The sequence below is a fragment of the Homo sapiens genome, chromosome 11, assembly GCF_000001405.40.
Source record: "Homo sapiens chromosome 11, GRCh38.p14 Primary Assembly".
In the NCBI taxonomy this organism is placed as follows: Eukaryota; Metazoa; Chordata; class Mammalia; order Primates; family Hominidae; genus Homo; species Homo sapiens.
In genome coordinates, this window is record NC_000011.10 from 91,156,199 (window position 1) to 91,169,351 (window position 13,153).

Below are 13,153 nucleotides of genomic sequence, written 5' to 3' on the forward strand. Positions count from 1 at the left end.
AACCAAATTTCAGGAAAATGATCAAGTCTGAGATTGGTTATTTGGAAGAAAGCTGCGGAAGTTGAGCTAGCTCTAAGTGAGTCATCCCTGTGTGTGCAATGGCAGAAGAGTAAAATGATCAATCGTGGACACCAGAAATAAGTGCTCGGTGAAGTGAAAACTTCAGAAGAAAATAATTCTTAAAGGGCATGAGAAAAATAAGCGCTGTGGCGGTAGTCGGTGAGAGGTGAGTTGTATCTATTTTTAGTGGTATCTAGACAGCTTAGAAGGAATAACACACATATTCTTAAATGCACAGTACATTAAAATTAAAGTGTAGGGAGTTTCAATGATTGTACTAACACATTGTTATATCCTATAGTGACATAGTTAAGAAAACTGAAAACTGAATGCAAAGTTTAACCCTGCACATGAACAACTTAAAATTGTAATCCTCTTCCAAGATATTTACTATGTAAAAGAAGACCATTTTTTTTAAAGCCCATTCATACTTCTCGTCATTGGACACAGACATATACCTAGGGTAGAATTCCAGTCCCATTCATACTTCTCTTCATTGGACACAGACATATACCTACAGTAGTATTCCAGTAAGTCTTAGAGTCTGATTATACAGTAAACCCTGGAGATAATGATTTACACAACAAAATAAAGAATTTTTTATTTGTATGTGGTAAAATCTGGAGATTATACATAAGAAATGACTTCCATTATTTTATACCAATAAAGTAAATCAATTCAGATTTGCTGAAACTTTTGATATGCAGGCACATTAAACAATTCAGATGTTGATGGCAGAGCTTGAAAGGGTGAGCAGTTTTCAGTTGTTTATTCCTCGGTAGATGGGCTGAAATCTGACTCAATGTTAACCTGTGCTACATAATTTTGGATGTGCAAAGTTGCTTCATAAAATGTCTAGTAAGAAACTAATTTAATATGTATTTATTAAATGCCTACTCTGTGACTGGCACTCTTTAGGTGCTGGCAAAACTGCAGTGAACAGAGCACTTATCTCTGCTCTCATGGAACTTAGATTTTTTTAGGCAGAGGACAAAAACAGACTCAAGTGAAAACATATTGAGCAGTGATAATTGTGACAAATGAACACTGGAAAAGGGCTTAAGGAGTTCTGGAAGGTTGTATTGTTACTTACATTTTAAATATTAGGAAATTAAGAAATCAAGTTCCTGAAAGTAGGTGTCTTGCCTAAAACTGCATATAAGGCCAATGTCAAAAAAAAAATCATGTGTAAATTATAGGTTCTCAGTTTCCTAAGCAAACTATTTGTCATTCTGTATCTGGCTGCCTTACAGGTTATCATTTATTTTATAAAATCTAATTAACCAGAACATTTTAATGTACAAACACACACACACACACAAACATACGCAAACACACTACATAAACATATTACTAAAGCAAGGTCTGTTTATTAACACACATATCCAGTAGGTAGCTATCCTGACTGTAGCTCATGGTATTATAACCATATATTCACTTATAATACCACCAACACAACCAACTGAAAACATTTTCATATAATGGAAGTTATCAGCCATCCTGAAAATGTAGGTCTTTCTTGAAAAGTTAATATTGTGAAAGCTTCCCTATTAGAAGTGAAAACACATGCATTCCAATCTCCATGCTGATACTTTAGTTAAAAAGCTGATTAATTCAAGTTTTCACAAATGGCTATGTAATTACCTACTGTACAAAGGAGTGACCTCATGATCATCCCTTGATTTATCCTATATTCCATGGAATTTTAAACTTAAATTCTAAATTCTAAATTAATAGACATGAGAATGTTTCTTCTGGAAGATGTGATTCTAAAAGAAAAAGAAGGAAATATTTTATATGTCTAACTTTTAACCAGGAATTGTGGGAGGTTTTCAATGTTTAAGAAACTGTTTAAGAAGTTTTCTTTATGATCAAAATATGTTTATTCTCTCAATTTCTGAACCAATAATTGGCTTGTCATTTTAAAGCCTTAACAAAGTTATTGTGGCAAAATATTTTCTTGAAAAATAATGCATCTAATTTTCGACTTCCTGTGGCCCTACTACTATCCTTGCTTCCCAAAACAAAGGTACGAATGATATAGAACGTTCTGCTCTTTATTTTTTGGGGCCTATATAAAATTGGCAAATGCATGAGAGAAGCAGCTGCAAAGGTGATGAGGGATTTGGGCTGCACAGCATGGTTCCTCTGTGGCAGATGGAATGTGTCCTCTTCTGCCTGACCCATCACTATCAGTTTAACAATAAGGCAACATCATAACAGTTATTAGAGTGATTGTCAGTTTCAACTCAGTTGCACTTGGCTTACAGGGTGACAGGTAACAACCATATAAAGCAAGTAGAAACTCAGCATTTATTTCTAAAGGTTTAGGCTGAAATCAGCACTTTCAATCACTTATGCAAGTTGAACCTTTGCCTCAGCTGACTAGTTGTTGAGTCTATTCTAACATAAATAACATAGAAATCTTAGTGTTCTCTTCAAAAATGTTAAGATTCAGAATACAAGTCCAGAATAGCCATGACCATACCTGGTAAAGGAAAGCTGTTTTATTAAATTGTTTCCAGATTTCAAGTTACCAAAGAACCCTTGTATTAGTGAAAAACAAAAGAGAATCTATATTTAAGGAAGAGATTTTAGATTTATGCACTTACTTAGAAATGCATCTAACACTACTGTGTATATTCTATATGTTTGTTATTAATTCTTTATTCATTTGGGGAGGTTGAATTGAAGGTATCATCATAAATCAAAGTAATTAGTAATTACAATAGTGTTTCTAATTCAGTCATGTGTCCCTTACAGTGGGGATACATTCTGAGTAATGCATTGTTAGGTGATTTTGTCATTGTGTGAACATCACAGAATGTGGTCGCACAAACCTAGATGGGATAGCCTACTACACACATATGCTATATGGTATATGGCCCTTAGGCTATAAACCCTATAAACCTGTACAGCACATTACTGTACTGAATACTGTAGGCAATTGGGACACAATAATACTTGTACATTTAAATACATCTAAACATAGAAAATGCATGGTTAAGTAATGATATAAAAGATTTGAACAATGATATACTGGTATAGATCATTTACCATGAATGCAGCTTGCAGGACTGGAAGTGACACTGGATGAGTCACTGAGTGAGTACTGAATGAATGCGAAGCCCTAGGACATTATAGTATTGTAGAATTTAGAAACATTGTACACTGAACCTACACTAAATTTACTTAAAACATTTTTATTTCTTCAATGATAAATTAACCTTAGCTTCATAAACTAAGGTTTACGAACTCCTTCATAAACTTTTATATTTGTTTGACTCTTTTATAATACTTCTTATGTACAGCTCTCCAAAAAAATATTTTCTTTCTTTTATTCTTAACATATAAGCTTTTTTCTTTTTAATATTTTTATCTTCTCTTTTACTTTTTAAACTTCTTTGTTAAAAACTAAGACACACACACACACTGGCCTAGGCCTACAACTGGTCAGGGTCATCAATATCGCTATCTTCCACCTCCACATCTTGCCTCACTGGAAGGTCTTCAGGGGCAATAACACACATGGAACTGTTTTCTCCTATGATAACAGTGTCTTCTTCTGGAATATCCCCTGAAGAACCCACCTAAGTCTATTTTGCACTTGACTTTTTTTTATAAGTAGAAGGAGTACACTCTAATATAACAACACAAACATAGTATAGTAAATATATAAACCAGTAACAGTCATTTATTATCATTATCATGTATTACATAGTCTACATAATTGTATGTGCCATACTTCATACAACTAGCAGCACAGTTGGTTTATTTATATCAGTATCACTGCAGGCATGTGAGTAAGGCCTTGTGCTATGATGCTACAACAGCTATGATGTCACTAGGTGACAGGAATTTTCAGCTCTTATATTATTATAAGACTGCTGTTGTATGGTCTTGACTGAAATATCCTTATGTGGTGCATAACTGTATATAGTGCATATTAAAAAATTCACAATATACCCATTATTTATTGAAGAAGTACTAACATTTCAGTAATAAATTAGGAATGGAGGTCAAATTCTTCCAAGTCCTGACCCAGGACTCCTACTCTTGGTCAGGAAGACAAAAATGGCCTCTCGATTCTGACTCAGGCATCTATCACTGTGATTCTGTTGTTCTGTCCTCCTCCCCTAAAATGCAGTTAACTCTGGATGCGGGCTGTGACAATGGGAATTGGTCAAGAGTTTAGCTCATTAGATGTAGAGAGGCCCTTTGCCTGGGAGTACAAAGAAGAGTCAGATGACCAGGTCTCCTAAGATATGGAAAACATTCATCGACCTCAGGACAAAATCTGTCTCTCTCTATTATGGCCTAAAAGGTGCAAGTGAGGACACAGTTTTTATACGGCTGGGCCCAACCCTCTTTACTCTTTGTGACTAACCTAAAACAGGACATAACTGACCCCTAATAATCTCTCTGTACTTAACATTGCCCTCATACCTGCCACCAAGACCACAAGAGTTAGTGATTTCTCAGCAAACACTTTGGGCATTCAGGAATTTCTTTTCATATTTCCATCCTGTAGCCACTTCCCATTAAGTCAGCCTGAAACTGAGAGGGAACAGAGAAAACTCACCTATGTCTGCAATGCCTGTTGTATCCCATTGTCTCACTTTATTTTTATTTTCAAGTTCCAACACGGATGGGTCATTATTTTAAGATGGAGTCAGAGGGAAATATTTGAAGTTAGGTCATAACTCAATTTAGCAGATTGGTTTAAAATCAGAAATAGCTTTCAGCAGCTAAAAAAAATGTTCAAAGTATTTCTGTACCTCAAAACAATTCCTCTTTAAGAATAAATTAATGGGAATATTTCATTTAAATACTTTCTGGTTAAATTTTCTTCATTTTTGTGTTAATATTATTGAAAAATATTAATTTTGTCTGCTAATTACTTTAAAACATAATCTGTTTTCATATGTACTATAAATTGAGTTTTATGTTTATATTTCTTGAATTTAAAATTTATTAAGTTTTTCAATTTCATTGATTATAGTAAAAAATAAATAATATTTTAAGTGAAATAATAAAAGTTATACAGGTATTTGAGAAATAGAGCAAATAAATGCAAAAATATCCTTGTGATACAATATCACAAACTATACTTTTTTTTAAAAGTCTAGGATGGTAAAGTCTAAGAAGAAGTCTAAGAAGAAAGTCTAAGAAGAAAGATTGTAAAGATAGATTTAGGTTTGAATTTCAGCATTGTTACTTACAAGCAGTGTGAAACTGGATAAATCAACTAACCTTTTTAAGCTTTGGCATTTTCATCTGTAAATGAAGATGATAGAACCCATGTTTACAGGATTTTTGCAACATTAAAGCAAGAAACAGTATTTGAAAAGCTTAGCAGAAGTGCAGAGAGCATAAAGAATATACAATAAAAGGTAGCAATTTTTATTAAATTCTGTTAGTGTATGAGGACTCAGTAATTGAATCTAGGAAGAAAGGGAATAACATTTACTGAGAGCCTACTAACATAGATGCTTCACACATTGTTTTATTATTATTATTATTATACTTTAGTTTTAGGGTACATGTGCACAAGGTGCAGGTTTGTTACATATGTATACATGTGCCATGTTGGTGTGCTGCACCCATTAACTCATCATTTAGCATTAGGTATATCTTCTAATGCTATCCCTCCCCACTCCCCCCACCAGACATTTATGCAACCAAAAAACACATGAAAAAATGCTCATCATCACTGGCCATCAGAGAAATGCAAATCAAAACCACAATGAGATAGCATCTCACACCAGTTAGAATGGCGATCATTAAAAAGTCAGGAAACAACAGGTGCTGGAGAGGATGTGGAGAAATAGGAACACTTTTACACTGTTGGTGGGACTGTAAACTAGTTCAACCACTGTGGAAGACAGTGTGGCGATTCCTCAGGGATCTAGAACTAGAAATACCATTTGACCCAGCCATCCCATTACTGGGTATATACCCAAAGGATTATAAATCATGGTGCTATAAAGACACATGCACACGTATGTTTATTGTGGCCCTATTCACAATAGCAAAGACTTGGAACCAACCCAAATGTCCAACAATGATAGACTGGATTAAGAAAATATGGCACATATACAGCATGGAATACTATGCAGCCGTAAAAAATGATGAGTTCATGTCCTTTGTAGGGACATGGATGAAGCTGGAAATCATCATTCTCAGCAAACTATCGCAAGGACAAAAAACCAAACACTGCATGTTCTCACTCATAGGTGGGAAATGAACAATGAGAACACATGGACACAGGAAGGGGAACATCACACACACATTGTTTAATTTATCCCCACAACAACCCTATGCAATAGGAATAATTACTAACTCTGTTTAATAAATGAGAAAACCAAGTTCAGATAGATAAATACCTCATCCATTGAGTGTGCTTGACTTGAAAATTCGTTCTTTTTCCACAATTACTCCATGCCGAGCAGCTCCAATACACCAGCCATCTTTGTGCACAGTTCTTAAAGAGAGTGAAGCTGCAGGTGTGTTTACTTGTCCATTGTGCAGGGCAAGTGACAGCAGTATGGGTGAATATGTTACAACTTTCTGTTTTCTATTTCAGAAAGCTCTCTGTCCCATTAATTTTAGGAGAAATATAATTCCAAAATCTACTTCTCAAATGAAATAAAAAAGGATATAGGTCCTCTTCAAGGCCCATCAGACAGAAGGCAGGTACATGGCCTAAACTCCGACGGTTTCAGGATTTTATGTCTTGAGGTAGGGGTGCACATTGTAGGTTTAAAGTTGGTTAATTATCTCAGAGGCAGAAATAGTGCCTGCAGACAGACCAAGTTCATTAGCTGTGAAACAATCTTCATGTTCCCCACTTGCTAACTTTTGTCCTTTCAATGTTCTCCTGTACCCCTGCCTCCTGTTGATTCTGTGTTCACCCTTTCATAACCACCCTTTCTCTTAGCCAGTTTCTTTCTGTTGCTTGCAATTAAGAGACCTAATTCTCCCATACTACTATCACTCATCTATTTCTATTTATCTTTCTATTCCTAGAGTGTCAGTACAGAATAGGGTTAAAGACCACAAAGCATGGAGCCAAATTCCAAGGGTTCAAATCCCACATTCACTGATTTCTTCATTACTAATTTCCTTATTGGTATTGACCTCCTAGGGTTGTTAACAAAAATTAAAGCGGTTATTATTTGTAAGGTTTTTAAAACCACATCTAGCACATAATATGCTTTATATATAAATTTACTACTATAATTTATGTTCTTATAGTGAAGTGAAGAACTTCTAACAGTAAAATTGTAAATCCAAAGAAACTTGTTCATTATTCATTCTTCTGTCTCCCATTTGCTTCTTCCAAAATTCCAGACACTTCCCAGATAGAGAAAGCACAATTGAAGGCTAAGCACCTGTCTTGCTGAATGATTTATAGGAGGGCAGTGCAACAATCTCACAAATGTGGAATTGCTTTTTGGCAGTGACTCAGTCTTACTTGACAATTACATAGTTGAAATAGCATGAATTTGGTACCTCCCCCCACACCATTAGAGAACATGTACTTTGTACTGCTTATTTGGACATAATTGTAGTAAGCCTTGCTTTCACGAACAAACCTGCCTGATGTCTGTAATTCTTGCTTTGTAGGGCTTCCAGCAGATCATCTCCATCACAGGCAGATTGTTCTGTGCAGGAACATTCAGTGGATTCCACAGCTGTGCAAAAATTAAGTTTGTACCCTGCTCTATGCACTGGCTGTCAAGAAAAAGAACAGTCTGACTTTTCCATGACCTTGTTTGGCTTTAAAGTTCCCAGACAGAGGGTTACTCAGTACTGTATTTGTGACTTCAGCCTTGAGCCAGATATGTTGTGCCTGTGGGGTGGGCACTGTTGTGTTTTGGGTCACCAGGCCAGCTGTAGCATTGACTTCAAAATCTTCAGAGCATGAATCCTATTTTCTTCCTTTTTCATTCTTTTATCAGCTTCTATCACCACCTGCTCACTGTAAACAGTGATTTCCCTTGCTTTTATTTGCCTGCTGGCCGATATGTATAGCCTTGACTGGTTTTCTTTTGGATCAGACTTTCCCTTATCTACTATGTTGCTGTTTTATTATTTATTGCCAGAAGTGTTCTGTCCAGATGTGCTTTGCAGATGAAAATATATCACATGAAAAATAGCATGTTCTAGTCATTCTTTTCAAATAATCATGATCTTTGTTTATAAGGAACTTCCCTGAAACTCCCAAATCACATCTGTGGAGTTCTTAAGCTAGATTTTAAGTAACAATGAACAGAGAGAGAAGCAAAAAAGATGAACGGAGATACATTTCTTGTATCAAACAAGCAGAGCTGAGTCATCAATTAAAGCACCCAGTAAAGTGCACAGCACAAAAAAGCATTGCAGTAAATATTTGCTGAAAGAAACAATGACAAAGGCTGCGGCTTCTTCTCAGAAACACATTAGAGGGTGGTAGAGTCTAAGGCATTCTAGTGTTTATTGTCTTAAATTGTATGTTTTAAATATCGTATGATAATTGCCAGTAATAATAGATACAAGATGCTAATTGCATAAAAATAACCGTTGAGGCTGAACAAAGCAAATGGTAGATGTTTACAATATTTATGAACAATAGTCTCTGTCTTTATGCTAGAATAAGATTGAAAAGGGAAAGGAAAATTGCAAGGTGAAGTATCATTTGGCTACAAGAAAGTCATTTGTCATTTTAATTGAGAATTTAGATTGTCAAACTCAATAAATGAAATGGTCAATTGATATAACTCCCATCTCTGATGCATAGCGTCAATATGTAGTGCCTAATTAGGTATTCTCAATGAAATTATTACTATAAAGTGTATTTTATAGAATGCACAGTGAAATTTTTGAAGCCTCCGTGGATTATTTCAGATTACCCTTGGACTTCTTGTTGCAAGCCAAATTTCCAAGCAAGAATCATGAAATGCTGAATGCTTTAGCAAAATGAACTTTGCCCCATGAAAGATGGTGTTACGTATGCTATAATTCTTACAGAGATACCGCATTTGAGAGCATTTCGGGAGATAATGAAGAAAGTATGCCTTGGGATACAACATTTATTCCTTTTCCAGTAGTGACCTTTATAGTGTATTTTAGGCATGACCACTGCCTTTTGATACTGCTCAGTGTTGCATACAGATACCTTTCCCTGCACCGTATTCTGAACAGGGAGATGTAAGGAATATTCAATGTTAGCTCATAAACATGGACTATATGGTGTAAAACATGGTGGAATAAATTACTGGTGATCATGGTCACTTTTATTTTTGAAGAGGCTTTTGTATAGATTTGTTAATTCTACTGAGTATAAATTCAAGTGTCATATATAAGACTGGTTTATCTTCCAATAACTGGTTTTATATTTTAAACGGTGCCCTTTTAAAATATGGATTTTTACCCTCAAACTCCAAATTACTCTAATATCTAAGTAGGAGAGAAAAGTGTGAAGAAAGTAACAGAAAAATCTATGTAATATATTCTCATTAACTGTATAATATGAATTCAATTTCATATCTTAAAGCAATTCATTTAAGGCATGAATACATTCAGGATACAAAGTTCCACTTATGAACCTAATGAATTTTAGTGACTGTATGTCCTTGTAAATAAAATCTCAATAAAAGCTAGCATAAACTTTGCTATTCTTTGGTATAGATCATTAATATCTAATGACAATAAGGTCAAAGTTGAAGGCTTAGGCATTATTACAAGTCAAATTCCAAGGCAAATTATTTATTTGATGACGTATGGTCCAACTTAAAATTCAACTGTCACTGAGGATTTCAGGGCAAAATTGTCATTCAGAATATGCAAATTACATGTAAGTCAAATGATTTCACATCTGTATCCCCTTTCAAAAAATATCTTATTGAAGCAAATATTATGGATTCTTTACTAGTATTAATCAAAGATAATATGGAATTTATAAAATGCAATTACAATATTGTCATTATGATTAGATTCTGTATATTTTGAGGGCCAGATAAATTAGCATGCTCATATAAATGTGACATTTTATTGTACAGAGAATAAAGTATGAAAGCAGGGTGATGAATTTTAAAAGGTTAAAATATCTGAATTTAGATACATATGGTGTTGTATCACAGATCAGGTTGATCATTGTGAGCTAGGCATTCACTTTGAGACCTTGATCTATATTTGTAAAATAGTTAATATAGTATTTCCTACAAGAGAGTGTTGTCAGAATTAAATAAGGCAGTATTATCTTTCTTATAATGAAGTCCAAGTGATTAAGTTTCCATAAAGTAAGATATTGATATCTTTTATTAGTAAAAATGTTAAGTCCTTTTTACCCCTTATACTACCCAAATAAGTTTAAATAACCTCTAAAGTTCCCTTGGATTAAATAAAATCTTATTTTACAAAAAGAGTAAGTAATATGATAAGTTCCAGCTAAATAAAATTCTAAGGTAGTCTTTACTTTCACTTGTAAAATGTTTTTCTATATACAGGTCTCCAACTCAGGCAAATACAGTCTCTGCAAAGTGGAACTCAAAATATTAACGAGTCACTGCAAGAAAGAATACAGTGTAAAGGAAATTTGGATGGGACTGCAAGTAAAATCAATGAAGTCTATCCAAATGTAGATCCTGGAGGTAATGGTATAGCTATCATACTTAATCATTTTAATATATCTTTATTGACTCATTGGTCTGTGTTTATTCTGTACTGCATTTCTGCCAGAAAGTCCATATTTTTTTCAGACCACATAATTATTCTAATATGTTTAAGTATGAAGAGTTATTTCTTTGTGCTATATTAGCTTGGGACCTAAACTGAATAATGAAGAAAGTGCTAATGCAAGCAAAATCCAAAATAAAAATATCTCTTTCACTGTTACAGGAATACAATCTGTGTCTCTTACATCAAGAAAGACTTAGTACTCTCCAAGAATACCATTTTGTACCAAGTTCAAACTGGAGGATCACAAGTCTTTACATGTGACTTAGGAAACAGGAAGAAGCAACCAAACCAATCTAAGTGAGGCTTCATTAAGGAACCCCAATTTCATTATGTTATGAGCCCTGATTTAGTCACTGGTGAGTTTTATAGAACTCAGCTATATTGTTACTTATGTAATCTATTTTCATTAAATCAACACATCTTTCAGATAATATGGGGAAGCATAAAACAGAGTTCTTATTCTCAAAGAGTTATAATTTAGTTGGATAATAAGCACAGTTAGGAAACATCAAGCCAAATTTATTAGATTAAAAAATAAAATGGGAAAAATGATATTGCAATTCAGTGGTTAATCATATCATGAAGTCATTTATGAGTTCAAAAAAATTTGAAAGCCTAAACTGTGACAGGGAGTTAGTACAATAAAAAAGCCTGCTGAGTGAGAATATTTAGCTATAGAAACAGATCTTTTATACAGACTGGAAGTATATTCTCTGCTATATTGAGATATAAGACATATCTACATACGATGTTTGAACTTTAAAAAAAGCATAAAATAGGAAGCATTCATTGAATAAATTCAGTTAAAAAATGGAAAAGAGATGGTAAGATAACGGCAATACTAGCTTCAGTATATTGAATGACTATATTAATAACTAATGTTTATTGAGTATTCACCATGTACCAGGCATTATACTCAGCACTTTCATATGAATTTATTTAATCCATGTATAATTTTAAAGTAGATATTGTTTTTAACCCAAATTTAATCATTGGGAAAATTAAGATATAAACATTTGAATAAGTTCCTTAACTCAAATAGCTCATAAGTTGTAAAATTGGGATTTGAATTCAGCAAATTGGACACCAGGGCTCAGAGTCACCTCCACCAGGTATAGTGATTTCCTCGCAAGTGAACACAAGGTTTAATAAAGGTTATCAGACTCAATGTACTTTAAACTACAAGTGGAAAATACTGTCTCATTTATTTATGTTTACTACCTTTTGTTGATTAATTCATAGACTCTTCCATGTTCTCACAACAGTGACAACAGCCCATATCTCAAATTGGTTGTAAAATGTGGTGCTAAACCTTGTATTATTTCAGATGATCTGTATTTATAAGAAATTATTATAGTAAAACTGGAAGAAGTTGAGAGAAGGATGCTGCTGCCAGAGAATATAGAGCAAGGGAGGAGGTAAAAGATTCAGAAAAAAAAAAGACAGAAACACTTGAAATGTGAAATTACCACAGCATAATTAGTGCTAGAATCTTTAAAAATATAACAGTAAGCACTATACCTAATTTTACTTTTCAGTCAATAATTATGATCTATGCTAATCTATGGAAACTATTACATATTTACATGCATATGCATCTATGTAATTGTGAATTGAATAAAAAGGCTTTTCTACTAATCTCTTTTTCTTCTACAGTCACCTCATCATATGATGAGAAAAATAGGAATGTTACACCTGATGCTATTTCAGTGATAGTACCCCAAAAGAGGGCACTTAGGGAAATAACTCCAAGTCAACAGAAATATATAGCATATATTCAGAGTGCTGGAAGGCTTAAGGTTCACTTATTCTGTCAAGATTTCAGGCATTCCTGGTTAAGGGTTTGGTCTCTCTTTTAAGCCACATTGTTGCAGATCTTTCCAGGGGATTGACACTGCCACTTACAGACTTTGCAGAAAGTGTTCCAATAAACACCATTTGGTATATATAATAGATAGCCTTTTCTTGTCACTAAACACCACCTTCAATTACTTCTCTGTTGTCTTTAAAGGCTTGTTTGCCCTCCCTTCCATCACTAATTAAGAGCTTAAGAGTAAAGTAGACAGAAAGAGTTGTAGGAGATGTTTTCTTTTTTGATAACAACATATTCTTCTTCAATGTCATATTGTTTATTAGAATCTGAAGTTCATGATGGAAGAAAGCTTACAATTAACTATGACCCACCTACAATTTACTTAGAAAACATGTTTAACCTATGTTTTCAGAGTCATGCAAAGTGGTTAATGGAGTATATGCATGGATAACCAATGTAGCAGTGCTTTGAAATTCTTAAAGATGATTGGAAATATAGTAGGGAGAATAAATCAAAGTTTATAATAATACATAATGTTTTTATAGAAGCATTAAAATA

The 13,153-nt window shown here is 34.0% G+C and overlaps 1 long non-coding RNA gene across 1 annotated transcript in view; it reads left to right on the forward strand.

Moving 5' to 3' along the window:
- Positions 1-1,792: 1,792 nt before the first annotated feature.
- Positions 1,793-13,153, forward strand: part of LINC02748 (long intergenic non-protein coding RNA 2748) — a 70,456-nt gene continuing 59,095 nt past the window's right edge. Inside the window, exons 1-3 of the long non-coding RNA NR_183632.1 lie at positions 1,793-2,089; positions 10,551-10,694; positions 10,942-11,138. This is a non-coding gene — a long non-coding RNA (long intergenic non-protein coding RNA 2748). The remainder of the gene's footprint in view (positions 2,090-10,550; positions 10,695-10,941; positions 11,139-13,153) is intronic.